The 23,938-nt window shown below is 41.3% G+C and overlaps 1 protein-coding gene across 1 annotated transcript in view, besides 1 other annotated feature; it reads left to right on the plus strand.

The window, feature by feature from the left end:
• RAB22A (RAB22A, member RAS oncogene family) overlaps positions 1-16,108 on the plus strand; it is a 57,793-nt gene extending 41,685 nt beyond the window's left edge. Inside the window, exons 4-7 of the mRNA NM_020673.3 lie at positions 1,874-1,945; positions 2,033-2,139; positions 2,757-2,866; positions 8,207-16,108. Of these exons, the coding sequence (NP_065724.1) occupies positions 1,874-1,945; positions 2,033-2,139; positions 2,757-2,866; positions 8,207-8,304 (387 nt within the window). The 3' untranslated portion in view covers positions 8,305-16,108. The remainder of the gene's footprint in view (positions 1-1,873; positions 1,946-2,032; positions 2,140-2,756; positions 2,867-8,206) is intronic.
• Positions 21,459-21,960: an enhancer, noted in NCBI's record as "NANOG hESC enhancer chr20:56947914-56948415 (GRCh37/hg19 assembly coordinates)". NCBI's record gives its function as "activates a minimal SCP1, AML or CMV promoter by ChIP-STARR-seq in primed H9 embryonic stem cells {active_cell/tissue: H9 hESC(primed)}" and the evidence as "EXISTENCE:reporter gene assay evidence [ECO:0000049][PMID:30033119]".

Genomic DNA, 23,938 nt, shown 5'->3' on the forward strand with positions numbered 1-23,938 from the left:
TACAAGCAAGTACAGTTCAAAAGTCAGTAGAGAAGTTAATATACTAAAATTGAACACTAAGAAAAATTCAAGCAATGCAAAAGAGGAAAAGAACGGAGGAGCAGGAATTTTAAAAGAAATGGAACAGATACAGGCCGGGCATGGTGGCTCACGCCTGTAATCCCAGCACTTTGGGAGGCCGAGGCAGGTGGATCACCTGAAGTCGGGATTTCAAGACCAGACTGACCAACATGGAGAAACCCCATCTCTACTAAAAATACAAAATTAGCCGGGCGTGGTAGCGCATGCCTGTAATCCCAACTGCTAGGGAGGCTGAGGCAGGAGAATGGCTTGAACCCGGGAGGCGGAGGCTGCGGTGAGCCGAGATCACGCCATTGCACTCCAGCCTAGACAACAAGAGCGAAACTCCGTCTCAATGGTAGACCTAAATCCAAATATATTAGTAAATACATTAAATATAAAGGAGCTGAACTGCTGAACCTTCCACTTAAAAGGCAAAGGTTGTCAAAAATCAGGACCCAACTATGTGCTGGTTATAAGAGGACTACTATAAATATAAAAACAAATAAAGAATGCAAAAGGATGTAGTATTCAAATAATAAACAAAAGAGACCCATGTGGTTATATAATATCAGTAAAACAGACATGAAAACAAGGTGGAAGAAGGACATTGTGAGAAGAATATTGAGGAACTTTGTGTTGATAGAACTGTTTGACATCTTAGTGGATGATATTCACACAGATATATACATTTGTCAGTTTATCAAATTAAAATTTAATTTGATAAATTTTAAATTTATCGTAAAACTCAAATTAATACGAAATTTTAAAAGCCAAAAGGTTAAACTCATTGGATAAGCAGTTCCAGAATCCATAGTTCTGTATGTGGTTTATGTATGTGCACCAAATGCTCCCCTGTGATAATCCCTGCCTGTGTTCAGGGGTAAACCACCATTAACAACAGGATGTAAATACAGTGTCATCAGATCATAAGTAGGGGTCAGGCTTCAGAGTCAGGGTGCAAGACGAAAATTAAGTATAGGCAAAATTCTTGTCATTAAACATTGACATCATATCCAGTTGGTGAGATGCTCACATAGGACGTGTGCCCAAGAACTGAGATTGACTGGGCAAAGAGCTTCACAGTCTCCATCTCACACTCATTGAGAGAAATAGCTCACTGAATCACCCTTGCTGTTCAAATGGTTATTCCTCTCCCTTCTCTTTCCTCCCTGTTGTGTGTCACCGGTTGTGGAGGCCAGGGTGACCAGGGTGATGAGTGGGAAGAAGCTGTGTATTCAGGGTTAAATTGATGTAAATGAAATGAGATCTGTACCCAGCATTTGAGAATTGCCACATGCAAGGAGATATCAAAAAAGCAAGTTGCAAACTCATCCAAGTAGTGAATGTAGATGTGTACTCATTTCTGAAGGACAATCAGTGTTCAGATTACAGGGTTTTCTTTATGACACCCAAATGCAGCTACTTCTCTGGAGAACTATTTATAGCATTATTTTTATCTCCCCTGATAGTTAGGGAAGCCAAAGTTTAAAGGACTATTGAACAAATGAATTTGGGAATTATAACATTGAGTTCAATTAAAAAGCCTTTTTAGCTGAAACAATTGTTTATAGCGCCATATTTAATTCCTATAAAACTGTATTCTGAACTATCTTCTGAGAGACATTTCAGTGTTACATTAAAAGTTTTTGCCTTTGGTAATTACTGGTTCATTTGCTTTAAAGCAGCATGTCATTTTCTTGGCTTAAGAGAAAGATTACTTTTTGTGCAGGGATAATGGGCTTATAAATCTAGTATAAAACATATTTAACCAGTTTTCCCAATTTTGTTTATTTTTCCCCCTCCTCTGCAGTTTCGTGCCTTAGCACCAATGTACTATCGAGGGTCGGCTGCAGCTATAATCGTTTATGATATCACAAAAGAAGTAAGACTATATAGTTTTCTTTAGATTGTTTTGAAAACTCTTTTGGTTGCTTAGATCTCCAGTTGCTCTCTTTTTTGTGTGTTACAGGAGACATTTTCAACATTAAAGAATTGGGTGAAAGAGCTTCGACAGCATGGCCCACCTAATATTGTAGTTGCCATTGCAGGAAATAAATGTGATCTTATCGATGTAAGGTAAGTTATTAGAACGAGAGATTACAATACCTATTATGTGTTCCTTTTCTTAATAAGCAATATCCAGTTTAAGAATCTTGCTTTTATTTTATCTCTGACATTGAAAAATTCCTTTTGGTTGTGTGGTTGGAGTCCTAAATTTTTAAACTAAAATTAAGATTTCAGGCATTTGGAGCTAATTATATTATGTATACAGACAGGTGTGCAATTTACGGAAATACTGGTTGCGTTGCATCCAACATTATCTGAGATCAGAGCAGCCCCCAGGCTCCCATGACTTAGAATACTTGAATGCAGAAAGCACATTTATTGGCAGTTTCCCTGGGCCACTTCCATCATTCCCAAAGCAAGGGCTTTTTGAAAATTTTGGCTGGGGAAGAAAACCCTGCCATCCCTAATCATTCCATTAGCTACATTACTAGTGGTACCGAGTTTTGTTTCACTTTGTTTGTTTACCCATGGATGTGGTGTAATCGAGAAGACCATGTCTCAGGGCCCATCCAGCAGCCATTTAGTCCATCCTTTGTCATCATAAATCTGGTTAACTACTGGGTAGGTGGGGGTACAACTAAGATCTTCATGGGTAGAATTTCTGATATGTAGTTGTTGCCTTCCAGAGAAGTCATGGAGAGAGATGCAAAGGACTACGCCGACTCTATTCATGCAATTTTTGTAGAGACCAGCGCAAAAAACGCGATAAACATAAATGAACTCTTTATAGAAATTAGTGAGTATCTCTGTGCCTTATCCATTTCCTCTGTAAAAGCCGCTTAACACAGAATGATCTTCCTGGTTAGAATTCCTGTCTTACTTAGAGCAGTCTAGTCTCTGATATTGTGATCAGTGAAATGAAGTTGGAGAAGGTAAGAGTAATGTCCAGTTTTCATATCATGTTATAGTTGCTGAAGAGCTGCCGCCCTTCTGGAAAGAGTGTTGCTACTGAATAAATAATGCACAGGGTACTGAGGTCATGAAAGCTGTCCCATTTCTTTCTCTATTTAAATATGTTTCTGTTAGTCGTCCAAGGTCATTGAAAATGAACAAAATGAATAAAGGGAAATGAAATGCAGGTATACTTGCACGGTAAGAAAACCCTCAAAAATAATACTAGGCAAGTGAAAGGTAAGACCTGTTTTCCCTTCTCTTTCCCTTCCCTTTCCAGAAGTGTTAATATGATGATACTCGATGGGAGAGGGGCTGCTGCATGCCTTTGGGATCCTCTGCAGATCGTATCTATGTTTATTCATTTCATTCAAATTCATCAAAATATTTATTGGGAGCTGTTCCAGGCTCAGGGGAAATAGCCGTGAAGAAGATAGACGCAGCCCCTGCTCTCCTGGAGCGCACATTCTACAGAGGGAAACAGACAGTGAACACCAAATAAATAGGATCATTTCAGATCATAATAACTGATACAAAGAAAATAATTTAGGATGAAATGAAGGAATGTCTGCAAGCAATTGGGGAAGGTCTCCCTAAGGAGGTGCTATCAGAGCTGAGGTCCAAAGAAGCAGGCCCTGTAGAGGTGTGGGGAGTCACATAAACATGTCAGACTTCCAGGTGGAGAAAAGCAGAAAGCCGTCAGAGCAGGGTGGATGTAGCGTTAAGATCCACCATGTGGTTGAGAGCCAAGGGTACTGAAGCAGGGAGGGTCCTTTGCCATTGTGTCGAGGAGGGGCATGAACTCCAGAGCCCACCAAGGCCAGGCAAGGTTGACCCATGAGCAGAGCAGGCCCAGGTGAAGCCTTGGGAACCCCAGCTCAGGCCAGGCCCAGCTCCATCAGCTGGGGCCACACTGGAATGTGGGCCCCTGGTTGCTGAGGTTGTTTTCACATTTTTTTTTTACATGTCCCATTGTTTAGATTTGGCCAATCATTTAAGTATTTTCAGAGTACTTTGCAGGCCTAAGGAGCCCATCTGCTGCCAGATATGGCCAGTGAACTACTGATTGCACCCTCTAGGCCAGCCCGTTCATTTCAGTGTTAAAACGTCATGATGTGCCCGGGCATGGTGGTTGTCACCTATAATCCCAGCTACTCCAGAGGCTGAGGCAGGAGGATCACTTGAGGTCAGGAGTTTAAGACCACCTTAGGCAACATAGTATAACCCTATGTCTAAAAAAATATAAAAATCAAAATACTAGGGCATTGTGGCATGCACCTGTAGTCCCAGCCACTCGGGAAGCTGAGGTGGGAGGATGGCTTGAGCCCAGGAATTTGAGGCTGCAGTAAGCCATTGATTGCACCGCTACACTTCAGCTTAGGTGACAGAGCAAAACCCTGTCTCTTAAAAAAACAAAAATCATGTTTATTGTTGTCCTGGATGTAAATAGCAGGTACCCAGATGGATTTTTGAAAGGCAACATAAAGCCAGTTGGGAATTTTTCACAGCTCAAGCTAAAATGTCTAAGTGTGTGGTGTCATGAGTATGTTAAAATTACTGCTATCTTTTTGTGTTCTTCACTTTAGTGGTATTAAAAACAGGAAAGTAGGCCAGACATGGTGGCTCACACCTATAATCCCAGCACTTTGGGAAGCCAACATGGGTGGATCACCTGAGGTCAGGAGTTCGAGACCAGCCTGGCCAACATGGTGAAACCCCCATCTCTACTAAAAATACAAAATTAGCTGGGCGTGGTGGTGCATGCCTGTAATCCCAGCTACTTGTGAGGCTGCGGCAGGAGACTCGCTTGAACCCGGGAGGTGGAGATTGCAGTGAGCCGAGATCACGCCATTGCACTCCAGCCTGGGCAACAAGAGCAAGACTCCATCTCAAAAAAAAAAAAAAAGGAAGATAGTAAACTATACCAACAATGAAAAGTCTTATATAAAAACTAGTATGTACATATTCAATTTAACTGTGAAAAACAAAACCTATATGTTCACAAAGATTAGAAAAATTGGGAGAGATGTACATAGACTTTCTTGTTCACTGGCTTAGTAAAACTGCGTGAGCACAGTGCCTGGCACACTGACTTTGTATTGAAGTATAATAGACATACAGAAATGTGCACGTATCAGAAGTATAAGGCTCAGTGAATTTTCACAAACTGAATATACTCCGGTGCTTGGCACTCTGGTTGGGACATGGCCGTTCCTACACCCAACGGTAACCATCCTGATACTAATTCTTCAGATTGGTTTATCTGGTTTTGTTTTACATATATTTTGTACTTTATATTTTTAAAAACACTCTGTTTCCTCTTGTGTGTCTGGCTTCTTTCATTCTGCATTACATTTTTAGACCATCCATGTCATTGCATCTAGCTGTGAATGATCCACTCTCATGGCTGGTTTGTGCGTGTGAGTGTCAGAGTCCGAGTTGTGCGGGTAAGGGGGCAGTGAAGAATACCCACAATATAATTATCCATTCTGCTGTTGATAGACATTTGGGTAGCTGTTTCCAATTTAGAGTTATTACAAACAGTACTGCTCTAAACATTCTGATCGTATTCTTTGGTGAACATCTGTACACATTTTTGTTAGGTATATTTATACCCACAAGAAAAAATGCTTGTCATTGAGTATGCATGCATTCAGTACAGCTTTACCGCCAACCAGTTTTCAAAGTGGTAGTTGTACTAGTTGACAACCATACCGGTAGTGTATGAGAAGTCCGATCACCTTCTGTCTCTGGTGGGTAGTCAGTGATCTCCATTTTCATGACAGTTAATGAAGTCGAGCACATTTCCGAATATATGTTTACATTTGTCGTATCTACATATCCTCCTTTGTGAAGGGCCTGTTAAGTCTTTTGCCTGTTTTCCTGTTGGGTTACCTGCCTCCTTCTTAATGTTTTATAGTTCTTTATTTTGGAGATGAGTCACTTATTGACTATGTATATTGGAAGTATCTTCTACTGTATGGCTTGCCTTTGATTTTTTTAGTCAACTCCTTCGATGGATTGAAGTTTTTAATCTTCATATAATCTGACTGATCCTTGTTTTCCTTTATGTTTAGCTGCATTAGGTTTTTGGTTGCTGTTTTAGAAATCATTACCTGTTCCCAGCTCATGAAAATATTCTCCTCTTATTTCTTTTAAAAATATTATTTGTTCAACAATTTTTTGATGTCATATTTCACAGATGTCTCTTAGATACCAGCTATATTTCAATATCCATTTATTGAGAATAATGACAAGAAGCTTGGGTAAAGCTTTTAAACAGATTTGTAGTATATTCACAGCAGTGTCTAGTCATTTGAAAAGTAGTTAGAAGACATTGGGAGATACTTTCTCAATGTAGAAACCATGCTGTGTACTCCCCACACAGATCCGCAGACAACTCAAAGTGGTGGAGGCTCAAGGCTTGAGAGAACCTGAGTCAGCGGAGAGGCCATCTTAGCCTTGTTAATGTCAAAAGGTGTACATGTCCATTTATTCCATGTTTACAAAATACTTCTGTGTCAGGTATTGTGCTGATAAGATACTGGAAACATAAAGATGGACAAATAGGATCTCTTCCCTAGAAGAGCTTAGGGTCTAATGTGAGGGAGATAGTCATGTAAACAGATATGAGATATGTGTAGTAACCTGTTTCTGGTGTCCTGATTGATTGTAGTGTCTGGGATGTTACAGAGTAAGGAAGTGGGAGGGTGTCAGGAAAGCCTTTGTACAAGAAGCAACCCTTGAGTTATCAGCCAGGTAGGTAGATGGGTGATTTAAGGATTCTCTTGAAATTGTCATTATGCTTCACGGAGCAGTGAAGTGAAACCTGTTCATTCTCATGCATTGTTGGTAGGAGAATATAGTGGCACAGCCTCTTCAGAGAGTAATTTGGCAGCATCTGTCAAAATTTAAATTGCACATTCTTCCTGCATTTGTGCTAGATAGACACTGGAATACAATGTATGTGTCAGACAAATACCCAGGAGTAGAATACCGTGACCTAGCTCTTCCACTCCGGGCATTAATCCTACACACATACTCGTAAGTTCAGAAAGATGCTTCTTGCATCTTTGTTAATAACATCAAAATATTGGAAACAAACTAAATACCCATCAATAGAGAAATGGTTAAATGAATGGTGGTACATCTACAAATGCAGTATTTTAGAGCTGTTAAAAAGAAGGCAGCAGGCCAGGCACAGTGGCTCACATCAGTAATCCCAGCACTTTGGGAGGCTAAGGCAAGCAGATTGCTTGAGGTCAGGAGTTCAAGACCAGCCTGGCCAACATGGCGAAACCTGGTCTCTACTAAAAATATAAAAATTAGCCGGGCGTGGCGGTACACGCCTCTAATCCCAGCTACTCGGGAGGCTGAGGTGGGAGAATCGCTTGAACCTAGGAAGCTTAGGTTGCAGTGAGCCGAGATCATGCCACTATACTCCAGCCTAGGTGACAGAGCCGATAGCCTGTCTCAAAAAAAAAAAAAAAAAGGTGACGGCTCTTTCTCCATGTACTATGATGCCACAATCCCCAGGATGTGTTGAGTGAAAGTATCAAGGTGGAGAATGGTGCATATGGTTTGCTTTATTTCTTGCCCCATTTGGCCTTGGAAAGGGGAGATGGGTAGGGATATAGGTGTGCCTGAGTGTTTGTGCATATATGTCTCTGGAAGGCTACACGAGAAATGGGCCACAGTGGTGGCCTTGTCATGAGACAGAGGGACAACCATGTTCTGACTGAACTTTTTAAAAAACAAATCCTATGTATTACCTACTCAAAACAAAATGTTTTTGATGTGTGGCTTTTTTTAATTAAAAAACGTTTACTAAGTGCTGTGTGATATCCTTGTTTGGATCCTGGGGCAGAAGCAGGACATGTAGAAAAACTGATGCTATCTGAAAAAAGTCTGGAGTTAATAGTGATGTGGCAATGTTGAACTCTTCATTTTGACAAATGTCCCATGGTAATATGTCAGCACTGGGGGAAACTGGGTGGGAGGTACACAGGAGCTCTATCATCTTTGCAGCTTTTCTATAAATCTAAAATTATTCGAGTATAAAAAGTTTATTAAACTTTTTTTTTTTTTTTTTTACTTCAGTGAAACCTGTCAAATTGCATCTGCAAAATTGTTGTGTCTGAGAAAGTTAAAGCTCACTCCCTTCCCTTTTCTCATCTTGGTTTAGGTCGAAGAATTCCATCCACTGACGCCAACCTGCCATCTGGCGGTAAGGGCTTCAAACTCCGAAGACAGCCTTCAGAGCCAAAGCGGAGCTGCTGCTGACCGAACCTCAGCCTCTCAGACTTGATGATGAAGTAGGTGGTCCTGAAAGTTAACAGGAGGGCTGGGGTCCCTGCCACCAGTTTTCACCTAGCCAGTCTTGAGTCTTCTCCGTGCAAAAAGGATTCACAGAAATGGACCAGTTCTGTTCTCCAAAGACTGCAGCAATGATATTTCAGTCTGTGAACTTCTATTATGTAAAGAATCTCTAGTGTACAAAGGGACTACATCGTTGGCTTTTGACCTTGCTGAAAAGGAACATATAATTGTATGGATGGTAGGATTAAGTTGTTGAGTAGTTTTGTAATCAAGATTTTATGTAACATTTGTAAAGGGAAAATTAGCACTTTTGTGGTTCTTAAGGGAAAAGAAACAGACCTTGTGGAGATTATAATTTCCTTGGTTTCTGTTACCACTGTTAGAGGGAGTTGTATCATTTAACATATAGTAGGATAGTTTAAGTGTAGGGAGGACAATTATTGTCTGAAGCTAAAATGGGTTATTTATAGGACTGATGGAAATGATTTCATCTCTGCCATCTCTAAAGCACTTTTCATTGAACATGTTAGCCTAGGATACGTACAGTAAATTAACAATGATAGCAGCAGATGCCTAGCTCATCCTGGGTTTGCTTCTGACCTTGTCATGTGTGTGCCACCAAACACGTTATTGGCACCTTTTTAAATAAGCTCTCATGATCAAGATGGTGATGGTAGAGAAGCTGCCCGGAATAAACTGAATTTCATATGTTCTAAAATGACTAGCAATGGTTTAAAAAGGAAGAAGAGTGGAAGTGAAGAAGGTGGTATAAATGCTGTCAATTTTTTTTTAACCCAAGTATTTTGGTGGGGAAAAGCAAGTATCTATTGCTTAGCATATGTAAAGTTGTAGTCTATATTTATGGGGCCATTGCTTAAAGATTATAAATTATGTAAATACATTAATAAATTCTAAGTTTCATTTGACATTCCATTGAATCTCGCACCCAGTCTTGCGTATGCCTGCCCAGTTTTCAGCCTCTTAACGGGAGACTCAAGCACATTGGTATTGTATAAAGGTATAGAGCACTTAGCTTACAATCTTTAAAGGTTTCTCTGCCTTCCCTTCTACCCACCCGCCTCCCACCAGATCCCATCTGGAAATCATAATAAAGACATATGCCACTTTGACAAACCTGACTAGTCCTTACTAGCCTGAGGGTAAAAGATTAAGCTCCAACCTCAAGTCATTTACCTGGTCTTGGTAATAAGTTTCTTTTAGCTTGTACAGCATCCTCAGACCAACTGAGGAGCTTTCCTTGTTAACAATTTAGCTTATCTTTCTGTTTCCTTTATTTTTCCCCTGCCTCTGTTAGTGGTTAACACTCTTTTCCCTCAGGGAGCCTAATGAGGTTTTTAATATCATCTAAAAATAAAGCATTGAAGTGAAGTTGGTGAAAATTTGTTCCTGGTCTAATTTGGCACCCTTCCAACCTGAGTATTGTAGGGGAAGGAAATTTACAAGATTTAATAGGAAATGAAACAGCTTGAATTTCAAACTAAATTGTATTTTCAGAGCTATCCTGAAACTGAACAGCTGAAACTTTAAAAAATAATTGGTATTATTTTGTGCCCCCCACTTAATATGGATAGATTTTAATGGGAAAATTATAATTCAGATTAAATAAAAAACAATTCCCTTTTCCCTGTTGTATATCTTAAGCATTTGGAATTTTTTTTATCTTCTGAAATCATATAAAAAGAATGTCATTAGTAAAAATTCTAACTTCGTTTTGTTTAAAAGACATGTGGATGCTCCATGCCCCTAGGATTTTGCTTCCTCCCCGGTGCTAAATTAGCAAGCTCCTAGAGAAGCCATGTGATTCCCAGAGCCAGGCGCTTTACACCTAAAGTAGTTTGACTTTCTTCTGTATACATCCAGATGGATCCCAGGCATCCGGGCACCACCCTGGTGTGTCCCTAGAATTCCCACTGCTGGGCCTCTATCTCCATGACAACAAAATAAAAACAGAGGTTGCTTGACTCATTACCAAAGAGGCAAAGCATGTGCGACCCTTTCTGTCTTATTTTACCAAAAGATGGTGCAAATCTATGACCTTCACATTTTTTCCACCACACCCACCAGTAGCTGTTGGTGATTGCATGGTGTCTCGGTGCATGGGGAAAGGCAAGGTCTTCTGAGCTCATCTTAACTGGTGAGGCATCTGGATGTGTCTGATCTTACTGTGATGTTTTACTGTACCGAGCCCAATGTGGGTCCATCTCATCAGCCCTTTGCTGATTTCATGATTTCTCACCCTCCCTCCCATATGTAGGGTGTGATTCTGTTTTATTATAGCCACATGTTTTATTAACAGAATGAGTGATATGAAGCTTGTACTTATGCATTTCTCGGGCCTCTTCCCTCATTTTCATCAGTCTGTCTAAGAACTTGACTCGGCACTGTTTCTCGTGTAATATCCTTCTAATGCTTAGCAACAACAACAAAAAATTGCTCTCTCAGATCCATAATCCATACTCAGTGAAAGCAGGGAAAAAATATTTTCACTTATTTTATTTGCTTCTAAAATGCAAAGATGAATACTAAAGTCAGAAGCAGTGTTTCATTTTGAACACATTTTGGATTATTAAGCTGACTAAGCAATGATCTAATACACATTTCATATTTTCTTTATAATAATTTCTTATGGAGAAGAGGCTATATTTCAAAGGAATTGAGACATACTCCCATCTATAAACATGTTTGGTTTTCTTACGATACAGGGCCATTTTTTTAAAACTCTCAGGACTGAACAGAAGAGAAAAATTATTAATTAGCTGCTACTGTATGTTGATTCTTTTCGGAGAAATTGAAATAAGCTCTTTGCAGGCGTCCAATCCTAGAAACCAATGGTCTCCAGAACTCTCACACAAGTGTTTTTCTGATTCTATGATAACTAATTAACCATCATCTGGTGATTAAAAGAACATAAAGTAAGATTATGATTAAGTGTCCATCACCTGCCTGTCAGCCGTGGTCAGAATAAGTTTTACACGAAGCAGGTGAAAGATTTAGTTCTTTTCAAAGTAACTTATTTTCTTGTGACCCGTTTATGATGTTGTTTGAAGTCCCTGTTTCCCATTGTGTACGCACTTTCTGGATGTCTGGAAGGATCGGGACTTTTGTGTGAGAGGCTTGAGCGCCTCCTCTATGTGGGCTGGTGTCCTTCTTGAAGTTGTCAATTCCTCTTATTCTTAAATATCTAAAGGGAAAGGAAACCAACTTTAATTTCAGAACTTCTCTTTACGTCTTGTATGTATTTCTTTTCTGTTCTCAAGGAGGAAAATTGGTCTAGGAAGCCTTCTAAATTAAACTCTGGGAAATATAGTAATGAAAATATCCTTTAGCTAACTTTCCTGTAACTGTCAAACCAAAATGTCAGTATTTTTAGGGCATTGTGTTAAAATAAGCAGTTTAGATTCCGACGACACTGCACTAATTGGCATGTCAGCCTCCAGCTCAGAAAGGCATTTGCTCATGGTTACAGGCATCTTTTAGATTCTAAGAGTGAGTTACAGAATTCTTTTTGGTACTTTCACTTATTCTTTCAGAATACATCAAGGATGTGATTTATGGGCCCTTAAGAGTATAAGATATAGGTGCACAGTATGTTACTTAAGTAACGGATGAGCCCCCCTAAACATCCACGTGTCTCTGCAGGAACCTGTGTAAGTATTGTGAAAACCCTTTTCTTCCAGGGAAAAATTATTGGAAATTCCTTAACTGAGCTATACTTGGTACTTGCTCTAGAACATTTGGGAAATGACAAACTCAGGCTGGCTCTCCTCTCTAACCTCACTGGGCTATAAATGTTCCTTCTAACTCTGTAATGAAAGTTCAGTGACAAACTAGATAGTGAACCTGTGAAAGTCATTATTTACATTTGCTTTAAAGGGACAGTTTTACCGTTCAACTTCAAGAGTTTTTCTACCTCTTTAACAGTTAATATTTTTTAAAGGAAGAAATGGAATGTACCTTCAGGGGTCAAGCTGTTAACTGTATACCTGCCTCTAGTTAGCTTGGTTTATCAAAAGGATTTTTAAATGATTCAAGGTAATGTTTAGGATATTTGTTTTAACTCCTGCTGTGCTGTGATTTAAAAAAAAATAGTCTAAGAAACAAATTTATCCATGAGATAAACATCATATTTTATAGTTTTAGAAAAAAGGGTTGGGGGTGGAATTTAGCCTAGAACTTAAAGAAACAACCTCTGCGAATTTCTCTTGACAGCGGAGTTGCTTGTCTTGACTTCTAATAATATAAATCCAGGCAGTTTGATTATCCGATTTGCAAGAAACTTTAATGGAATTCTGGGGCATTTGTCCTGTTTTATGTGCAAATGAAAGTCTAAAAAATATGAGGAAGATATTACATTTTTCAGGAGCCTCCATTTTTTCAGTCTAAGAGAATGATAAGTGAGAGGCCTATTGTGATGAAGTTGCATTGGACATAATGTGGGAAGTGAATAAATAGAACCAAGAATCTTCATCTATCTCTGTTGGTCTTTCAGGATTCTCTTAGCATATAGGAAAATGATTTACCTTCCAGATCTCGAAGGACTTCCAATAGCATAGATCAGGTTTAATTTGATGGTCTATACCATCAGAAATAACTAATATCTGTTTTCTTTCCTTTTAGAGTATAATCAATTATGGATAGGCCAGAATATTTTTGGCTTCAAAACAAAAGGATTCATAAGCTTAAAAAAACAAAAATCCCAAACCTTCCATCTATCCCTTTTATTACGTTGAACATTTTAGATAGTAAGATTAAGATGTATCATTAGTATATGGTGAAATTAAAACCGTGGTGTCTAACAGATTTAACAAAAAGTGTTTAATTTACTGCAAGTTCATTTTTAGATCTGTATGGTGCCCAGTACTCCACAAAATGCATCATAATTGAAACAACAAAATTATTTTCATGAGCAAGAATTCAAGTATCAAGGCCTATCAGCCAATTAAAAGCCGTAAGATAGTAATGATTTTTTTTCTTTTTTTTTTTTTTTCTTTTTTTAGATGGAGTCTCACTCTGTCGCCCAGGCTGGTATGCAGTGGCGCGATCTCAGCTCACTGCAACCTGTCTCCTGGGTTCAAGCAGTTCTCCTGCCTCAGCCTCCTGAGTAGCTGGGATGACAGGCGTGCACCACCATACCCAGCTAATTTTTGTATTTTTAGTAGAGATGGGGTTTCACCATGTTTGCCAGGCTGGTCTCGAACTCCTGACCTCAGGTGATCTGCTTGCCTCGGCTTCGCAACATTCTGGGATTACAGACGTGAGCCACCGCGCCCAACCAGTAACGATTTTTTTAAAGGGCCTTTCTTAATTGACAGTTTTAAGCTGTAGACATTAATATTATAACAAACAAAACATGCCAGTTTTACTGATTCCGCTTTTTGCTTGATTCAGGAACTTTTCATTGTTTGGGGAAGCTTTTGAATGCAGTACTGTGGAGGAAATCATCCTTAAAATAGCATTTCACACATAGGGCCAAAATTGAAATTGTCAAGGAAACCCCTCAGCATCTAACGTCATCTTGTAGAAGAGCTGGGCATACCTCTTCCTCTAGGCCAATTCAGAGGCCACTGGCCACCCAAGTAGAGTGGGGCCCACTGGCATGAGTAGTCCCTGTGCCCATGCCCATGGTGGTGCTTGACTTTGCTTTGGGGCTTAATCCTAGTATCATTTGGCCATTAATTTTTAATTAAGTTTATACTTGAATAATCAGTTTTACTCCTGAAAAATTTTGAAGCCAGCACTGACTTTGTTTATATTCACTTACCTTGTATATGAACTTATGACATTAGAGTTTGTGAAACTGTCTTAACGTGGCTCATACACGTGATGTCAGAGGGACTGGTCAGTTCTTTACAGGGTGAATTAATCGGCAGCTGGCTAGTCAGAGCAACTGATGGGTGGCTTTTTTTTCTTTTTTTTTTTGAGACGGAGTCTCGCTCTGTCACCCAGGCTGGAGTGTAAGGGCGCGATCTCGGCTCACTGCAACCTCCGCCTCCCAGGTTCAAGCAATTCTCCTGCCTCAGCCACCTGAATAGCTAGGATTACAGGCGCCCGCCCCCACACCCGGCTAATATTTTTTGTATTTTTAGTAGAGACAGGGTTTCACCGTGTTGATCAGGCTGGTCTCGAACTCCTGACCTCACGATCCGCCCGCCTCGGCCTCCCAAAGTGCTGGGATTACAGGCGTGAGTGGTGGCCCTATTTTTAAACCATTCGTTACGCTGTGTAGACAGAGCTTTATTGCCCTGGAAAAGATTTTTTTTTTAACTCTCATGCAGTTCAGTCTTTCCATCATTTCACTTTGTGAGTCACTCACATAATTGTCAATCATTCCTCTGACCTTCTTAAGAATTTACACCTTACCGTCTCTGTGATTGAAGCAGACTTCTCGCTTTATTTCCCTTAGGCTCATTTTTCTGTGGGCTCTCCCTTAAAGACACATGGCCACAGACACCTCCTTCGCATATGTAATCTGCCTTCCCCTGCGGCCTTCCGTGGTCACAGCAACAGGGACTGCTCACCCCCTCCAGCTGGGGCTTTTCTAACAAGCACAGTCAGAAATGCGCAGGCCTGGGGTTGGGGATGAACAGAAGTTGATTAGTGGGCACAGAAATACAGTTAGATAGAAGGAATAGTTCCAGCATTCGATATTACAGTAGGGAGACTGCATTTAACAATAATTGATTGTATATTTGAAAACAGCTAGAAGAATAAGAATATTCCCAACACAAAGAAAAGATAAGCGAGGTGAAGGAAATCCCAGTTACCCTCATTCAGTCCATTACACATTCGATACAGGTATCAAAATATCATAGGCACCTCAAAGACATGTACAACTCTTAATTTAACATTTTTGAAAGAAAAAAAAACCGGCCAGAGCATTAAAACAAATAAAATAAGAAACACAGAGGCCAGTGTTAGGTGAAGAACTCCGCTGCTTCAGAAAGAGAATAGCAGCGCTCGCTTACCGTGGGAACACGGCCAGTTAACAAAATGGGTTTTGGTTTTTTGTTTTGTTTTGTTTTACCATTGGTAATAAGATAGTTAACATAAGTGGTCAGAACTTCGCTGAATTTGTAATAAAGCATTTGTTAAGCGTGTAAAAGTCCAAATTAAAAGTCTTGAAGAAAAACAGCTATGGCAATGAGCCTAGACATTTTTCAAAAAAAAAAGCTAAGCCGTCCTACCAGCAATCTCTCTTTCTCCTAAGAATGTCATGCCTTCTCAAGACCTGATGAAAGGAATAAGATATTTGTGCCTTTTTATAAAAGCATCTATTACGAAAGTAAAATTCAGTTGCTTACAGTTTTGGCCGCTTTGTAGCACTATTATAAACAGCCCAAATTTATGGCCTTGGACTTACTGCATGACACATGGCCTGGTTACCTGTCATGGAATGCTGCAGTGGTGGTTTGCCAAGCTTCTGTGGATGTTTGAAGACTTTATTTTTGCAGTCTTAACCTTGGGCTGGACCTAAGTGTATGTAAACCATATGATGCCTGTATTGTTTATAGATGCTGACAAAAGAAAACTAGACCTTTTGTTTTTTGTTGTAAGATTTTTGTTTTCATGCCTATGCTCATAGTAGATAGTTTGCAAATGAAAGTTGATTTGCCATACTTTTAAATAATATTGTTTTAGCTTGAATATTCTATAATACACTTTTATAGAGTATAACATGCTAAATCACTGTTTTGTTGTAAGAAGGGTGTAAACATTTTGTTAATAAAATGCTATGTTTACAAATATATATTTGCCTCCCAAATGGTTTCTCTTTGTGATATTACTCATCATATGTTCTTCTTAACCAAATACTCTGAAGTCATTTTTAAATGACCTTTGGATACTGAAGTACCAGAATTTTGACAGCTGTAGTGTCTGGTGAGCAGCAAGTTATTTGTACCAAGGTATCTGAAGCTTCCCAGCTTCCCATATCCTTATCTTATACAACTCCTCCCTCTCCTTGCTCTTCAGTAGTTAAGATGGGGGTTCTAGAAGCAGGTCAGCAAGGCCACCAGTGAGCACTTAGAGGGAAGTTTGCTGCCCCTGGAAGAAAGGAACGGTGCAGTGCCCTAGATTGTGGAAGAAAAGGTCTTCCCTCATCTTCCATTATTATGGGGATTTCATCAAAGATGCTAGTCTTTCCATCCCAGTGTTGACTTGAACCCTGCACCCCCAGTACTCTTCATTGCCAGCAGAAGCACTGGCTCACACACACCCGTGCTCTCTTTGCTGTTCCTCTTAGGTAGAAGCACATTTGCCTGTACAGTGTAGGTGTGCCAAAGAGTACCTACAAGTTCAAGTGAGGGAACCAGAGAGAGCAGAGAGGGCTTGAGACAAACAGGCTTGGATTTGAGTCTCATCAGAGCATCTTTCCAAGCTATGTGGCCCTAGACAAGGCCCTTAACCTCTCTGACCTGTGTTTCTTTTATCTTCACAAAGGGAAGGTAATAAGAGCTTATCCCATGTGGCTGTTCGGGTGGGATGCCTGTAGCTGTCGTTTAACACGGCATTAACAAAGCACAAACATCTCACAGGGTTTATTTCTGTAAGCCATCTCCCTGATAATCACTTTCTGATTCAGTTAAAATAACTTTGCTATAAGTCTGCTGGTTTGCTGTTTTGTTTTTTCTATGTTTTTAAGTATAAAACCTACAAAAAATGTCATGAATCTTGGGTACAGCTCAATTAAATTTCACGAAGGTTACCCACATAACCAACCCTCAGATCACAAAGTGGGACATCTGCCACACCTCAGGTGCCCCACCTTGTGCTCCTTCTCTAACATCACTGATGAGTTTTGTCTGGTTTCAACTTTATATACATACCATGTGGTTCCATATGGGTCTGGCTTCTTTCATCCAACATGGTATGTCGTATTCTCATTCATTCTCACTGCTATGTAGGATTCCACTATGTGAATAAACCACCATTTATTTATCTAGTCTATATTGATAGGCATTGGATTATTTCCAGATTTTTGCCATTATGAATGGACCACAGTGAACCTTACATACATCTCTGGTGTAAAGGCTTGTACAGGTTTCTCTTGGGCATGTGCCCGGGAGTGGAATTACTGGGTCATGAGAAATACACACACACACACACACACACATTCTCAATGTCTGTATTTGTTTTTGCTTTTGTAGATAGTTTTCTAAAATGGTGTATTTAGCTGGGCATGGTGGCTCATGCCTGTAATCCCAACACTTTGGGAGGCCGAGGTGGGTAGATCACTTGAGGTCAGGAGTTTGAGACCAGCGTGGCCAACATGGCAAAACCCCGACTCTACTAAAAATATAAAAATTAGCTAAGCATGGTGCCAGGTTCCTGTAATCCCAGGTACTTGGGAGGCTGAGGCAGGAGAAACACTTGAACCCGGGAGGCGGAGGTTGCAGTGAGCCGAGATCACACCGTTGCACTCCAGTCTGGGCAACAAGAGCAAAAGTCCATCTCTAAAACTAAAGTGGAATATCAATATAGCTCCCCCCAGCAGTGTGCAAGAATTCTAGTTGCACAGCATCCTTGCTAACACTTGATATTATTATTTTCTGCTTTTAAAGTCTGGAGATCTGCAGTCCAAGCTGTTAACAGAACTTACCTCTGAGAAGAGAGGCTTGGCCCACAGAACTGTCACCTGGTTTTCACTTTCTCCTGTATATGTACTTCTGTACTTTTAAAATTTTTACCCTGAGTATGTGTGGAATTTTTTTTTTTTGAGACGGAGTCTTGCTCTGTCGCCCAGGCTGGAGTGGCACAATCGTGGCTCACTGCAAGCTCCGCCTCCCGGGTTCACGCCATTCTCCTGCCTCAGCCTCCCAAGTAGCTGGGACTACAGGCGCCTGCCACCATGCCTGGCTAATTTTTTGTATTTTTAGTAGAGACAGTGTTTCACTGTATTATAAAGTTTCACTGTGTTAGCCAGGATGGTCTCGATCTCCTGACCTTGTGATCCGCCCACCTTGACCTCCCAAAGTGCTGGGATTACAGGTATGAGGCACCGCGCCTGGCTGGATTTTTTCTTATTAGAAAAAAAAAAATCAGGAACTCTCACACTCTAATCCTGTCTTCAAATCCTTAGTGAAAATTGGCTCAATACATACACTGAAGTTGAATTTGTCTTATTTTTCTCCTTTTAAACACACACACACACCCTATTCAATTTGGTCAGTAAAAACCTTAGAGCCAGATTTGGGGCAAGTGTGCAAAACTTTATAGCACCGCTTCATTTCATTCTGAAATTTAATACATATCTTTTCAAGCTGCCCTAAATCCTCTTGGACAATAGGGGATAGAGGGAGCATAAATAATACCCGTTAAGAAGGAGAATATGCAGGTGCCTCTCACTTGGGGAAAAAAGAGGAGAATATTAGTCTACACCCTGTCAAGATAGTACTATGGCAGAAGCCAGTCCCATTTGTTGTTGCCAAGAAAAAGGGAATCACAGCCGGGCACAGTGGCTCACGCCTGTAATCCCAGCACTTTGGGAGGCCGAGGCAGGTGGATCACCTGAGGTCAGGAGTTCGAGACCAGCCTGGCCAACATGGTGAAACCCCGTCTCTACTAAAAATACAAAAAAAATTAGCCTGGCATGGTGGCAGGCACCTGTAATCCCAGCTACTTGGGAGGCTGAGGCAGACGAATCGCTTGAACCCAGGAGGTGGAGGTTGCAGTGAGCCGAGATCGCACCATTGCACTCCAGCCTGGGGACAAGAGCGAGACTTCATCTCAAAAAAAAAAAAGAAAAAAGAAAAAGGGAATCACTACACCAAAAAGGAAGACACAAATTAGCACACACCCAAAACAAACAGGGATGTTTTAAATGCTTACACAAAACAGCCTTGCTTTATTTTTCCACAAGCATCTAGCTGCTTGCCTTGGAGCGTATAAGAACTAAATTATGGACCTAGATTTCTAAGTAACTTCAAAGTTTACTGCAGATTTTTTTTTCCATTAGAATTTAAGAAGCAGATTTCCATTGAGATGGTAAACTATAAAACACAGAGCCTTTTAAATCTGTCAGTTGTTTGGCTTATAATAATACTGGCCAAAAACATGATTCTCCACTAAAAATGTCAGTGTTGGTTGGGAAGCCAAGCATCATCAGCCTTCTAAAATTTACCCACCAGGAGTATTACTGCTTTTCATTATAACACCAGTGGAGCTTGTAAGAGAGAAGAAGGGAAAAAAGAAAGCTTTCACCTAGCACCTGGTCAAAATGAATCACTTTGTTAATTATGATCTTAATCAGACCTCTATTTGCTTATTTTTTAAATTTTAAACACAACTTTTCAGCATCTTCCAAGAAACAATTTAAAAATCCAGAGACCACATTTTGAGAAATGTGCTTGAAGATAACAGAACCTCAGATACTGCTGTTAGAGGGGTGGGAACAGACCAAGGGGGTCAGACTTCTGTTTATTAATATTCAGCCCAGAATGAAACTTCAGGCCTCTTTTAAATAAAATATATGGAAAATATAAGGGGAAAGCTACAAGGTTCCACTCCGTTAGAAAAAGGGCATTTTTAAGAAGAAAATTGTGGGGTTGTGAATGTAAATTAGAGGCTAATGTACAGCGTTAGGGCGTGGAATATGCTCCAGTGGTATACTATCATCAACATTAAAATTGCCATCAGCCGCTCAAGTGATAAGGTCAAGTCATATCTAGTTTGCATATAAACGAGAATACACAACAGTTAAAACACACACACACAAACAAACATGACAACAGACTGGGCTGGGTGACGTGGAAGCTCTCTGCCAGCTGGGCAGTTTGCGACCTGAGTCAGTCCTTAATATCCAGGCCCTCGAATCATGAACTATCCCACCAAGAATGTTTTGCATGCTTAAATGTATTTTTATATTTCCTATTTCCAAGATGATAAACCCCTTATTAGAGAATTGAGATCCCTGTGGGTTTCTTTCCCTGTTCTTAAATTACTTCTAAAGGTAATAGGAGAGGGCAATGTTGGTGGCCAAGTGGCAGTCTTTTTTTTTTTTTTTTTTTTTTTTGAGACGGAGTCTCGCTCTGTCATCCAGGCTCGAGTGCAGTGGCGCGATCTCGGCTCACTGCAAGCTCCGCCTCCCAGGTTCTCACCATTCTCCTGCCTCAGCCTCCCAAGTAGCTGGGACTACGGGCGCCCACCACCACGCCCGGCTAATTTTTTTGTATTTTTAGTAGAGTCGGGGTTTCACCATGTTAGCCAAGATGGTCTCGATCTCCTGACCTCGTGATCCACCCGCCTCAGCCTCCCAAAGCGCTGGGATTACGGATGTGAGCCACCACACCCAGCCTCAAGTGGCAGTTTTTATAAGCCACCTGTGAACCACCTTGTGGGTGCTGAAAGGACAGCAAGTTTTGAAGCCTCTTACAGTACATGTATGCAGATGATTATTGTGTATATCAAAGTCTCCCCCCAAAAAAACAGCCACCTGATGGAAGGAAGAACCCAGCCAACGTGGAAAAGAAAAAAAAAGAAAACTTTACAAGCTCTTCAGCATTCGCTGGAGTGGAGGGATGTGCAAGTTTAAGTTTAAATCCAGAAATTGTGAAGAGAACATTTCAAGAAGTGGAATAAAATTGGACTTACTTGGGATGGTCTCTAGAATGTATGACGGTGGGGTTATTTATTAAAAGGGGCTTCAAGGCCAGATGGAAGACATTCCTCGGTCTTTTGCTGAGTCAGTGAATGTACTTAAACTTTGCCTACCCTCTTCTGTGAGTTGGTGTGTGATTTTACATTGCTAAAGGATAACGTTGCAAACTTTATGAGGCTACTGTGAATAGCTAATGAGGGCAAGCAGTCGGGCTATATAAATCAATATTATTAATTGCACCAATAATAAACATACAAATTCCATTATTAGCCTTAGCATACAACTGCTTGTTACAAAACCATGTACATTTTAGTGCCTGCTTTTTTTTGCCATGGGTCCATTAGGGAATTCTTTATTGTTTTTATATTAAAGCCTAAAAAATATAAAAGCTTGTCTTTATTTTTCATAATGCCGTCATTTCAAAATAGTACACCCACGCATGCATGCATGTACACATATAAACACGAAACGAAGAAAAGAAAAATGACTTAAGTTGCAAAGTAAAATGAGAAAAAGACAAAAGGTTCCTTGTAGCCCCAGCTGCAGGAGAATAATAGGTTCAAAGGGGTTTTACCGAGAGAAATGATGCTCAGAGCAGGGAGCAGAGAGGCTGGGAAGGAACGCAAGGACAGCTGAGGAGGCAGGCGGGGCGCCCTGGAGACGTTGCAGAGAGCACAGCAGCTGCTGAGGCCAGGCAAAGGTTGCATTCCTGCCCTCCCAGGTACCTGCTTTCAAAGGCTGAGCCATCCTCATTTATTATTTGTTTTGTCAAACATTAAAACATTCCTGCCACTGCAAAGTCCTACGTCTTAGACTCCCAGGAATAAATAAATGAAAATCCAGGACACGGTTTCAGGACTCCTACCACGTGCCATGCACTATCACAAGACAAATAAATCAGGACCCCAGTAGGGAATTAATTAATCTTCCAAGAAATGAAGAAATGGGGAGATGGTTCTTTGGGTGATACCTTTCCCACAGGAAGAAATAACAGAAGGTATTTATGACATTTTTCTTTTCCTAGTTGCTGCAAATTAAGAATCACAGGCTTTTACTTAAAAACATGTAAATATTGGAGGAGAGGGGATGTCTTCACAGAGTTCAAAATGATGGTGAAGAACCGGTTTTCAGCCAGGCATGGTGGCTCACGCCTGTAATACCAGCATTTTGGGAGGCCGAGGTGGGCGGGTCACTTGAGGTCAGGAGTTTAAGACCAGCCTGGCCAACATGGTGAAACACCGTCTCTACTAAAACTACAAAAATTAGCCTGGTATGGTGGCACACACCTGTAATCCCACCTACTCGGGAGGCTGAGGCGGTAGGATCGCTTGAACCCAGGAGGCGGAGGCTGCAGTGAGCCAAGATTGTGCCGCTGCACTCCAGCCTGAGTGACAGTGAGACTCCATCTCAAAAAAATAAAATAAAAAATAAAGAACCGGTTTTCAGTGCCCCAATTCCTAGATGTAATTGGGGTATTTGGTACAAGAGGGGTTTACCAACCCCAACTACATGATGAACTTACTTCCTTCACCAAGTACCCAAAGACAGACAAACCCAGCTGCAACAACAGCCTCAGAGAACACAAGAGCTCCCAGGCTCACACATCACACGACCCCCAGATTCTGACATAAGACATAGATTTAGGGACCTCGTTGAAATCCCTGGTGATGTGAGACCCCACGAGTGTGCCATCCTTGTGATAAGAGCTAACATCACTGCAGCAAGAACTTTACTTGCATCCGTTCACTGAGTCCTCCCCAGATCCAAGAGGCAGGAACTTCCATTATCCCCACCGTACAGATGAGGAAGTGGCCGAGGCTCAGACAGCGAGGAAGAGATAATCAGCCAGAAGCTGGCCTGGCCCTCGCAGCTGGCCTTGGTATACTCTCTCCTGTCGAAGAGACACTGACATCAACACAAGGCCACAATTTCACAAGACAATTTCGGCAATGTCACAGGACACTGACCTCACACAAGGCCACTCTGACCATGATGGGTCAAAACATAAACAAGACTTCTCCGTCACTCTAGTCCTTGTGGATGCAATCACAGTATGACCCCAAGTCTTGTTCCCGACAGCACCTAACCAAGAGCAAAGCTCACTTCCTGGACCCCTGCCCTGAAATCACCAATATTATCCCCAATCCCCGAGTCTCTTCTGACCCCTCTTAGGGAACTGCTTCACACTCCCAAAGCGCCCAGGCGGCACTTTGAACTTATTCCCCCACACATGTGTCCTGGGGGTCTTTGTCTGCAAGGCATTGCCAGCAGCCTAAGGCCACACATCTGCTGAGTCACAGCGCTGCGAAGGGCAGGTTGGGACCCAGGCCATCGGTCTACAGAGCCCATGATTTCCCTACTGCCTGATCTGCACAGGGAGCGGTCATAGCAAAGACACATTCCTTTCTCAGCACAAAATGGCAGGGCCTGCTGCGAGCATTTGGATTTCAGGAGAGCGCTGCAGGTACTTTACCTATTGCAGTTACTCTTGTTTGGGGTTTTCCCCTAGATACAAAAGCAAAGTTGTGACAGTCACTTGATAATCTATGGCTCTAAGCATTCCTGGGAGTGGGGAGCAGAAAAATGAAAATGGAGAAACTGAAACTTACAATGCCATGCCACGGTCTCCCCTGCCCTCCCACATTATACCCCTCTCTCTCTCTCTCCCTCCCTCCCTCTATCTCTGTCTCTCCCCCATCTCTCTCTCCCTCCGTCTCTCTTTCCCTCTCTCTCCTCCCTCTCTCTTCCCCCCTCTCTGCTCCATCTCCCTCCCTTCCTCCATCTCTCTCTCTCCCCCCTTACCCCTCCCTTTTCCTCCCTCTCTCTCTCTCTCTTCCTCTTCTCTCTCTCTCTTCCTCCCTCTTTCGTCCGCTCTCCTCCCTCCCCAAATATATATATATATATATATCTCCCTCTCCCCAGCTCTCCCTCCCTCTCTCCCCCTCCCTCTCTTTCTCTCCTCCTTTTTCTCCTCTTTCCTCT

This window comes from Homo sapiens, chromosome 20 (assembly GCF_000001405.40).
Source record: "Homo sapiens chromosome 20, GRCh38.p14 Primary Assembly".
Lineage (NCBI taxonomy): Eukaryota > Metazoa > Chordata > Mammalia > Primates > Hominidae > Homo > Homo sapiens.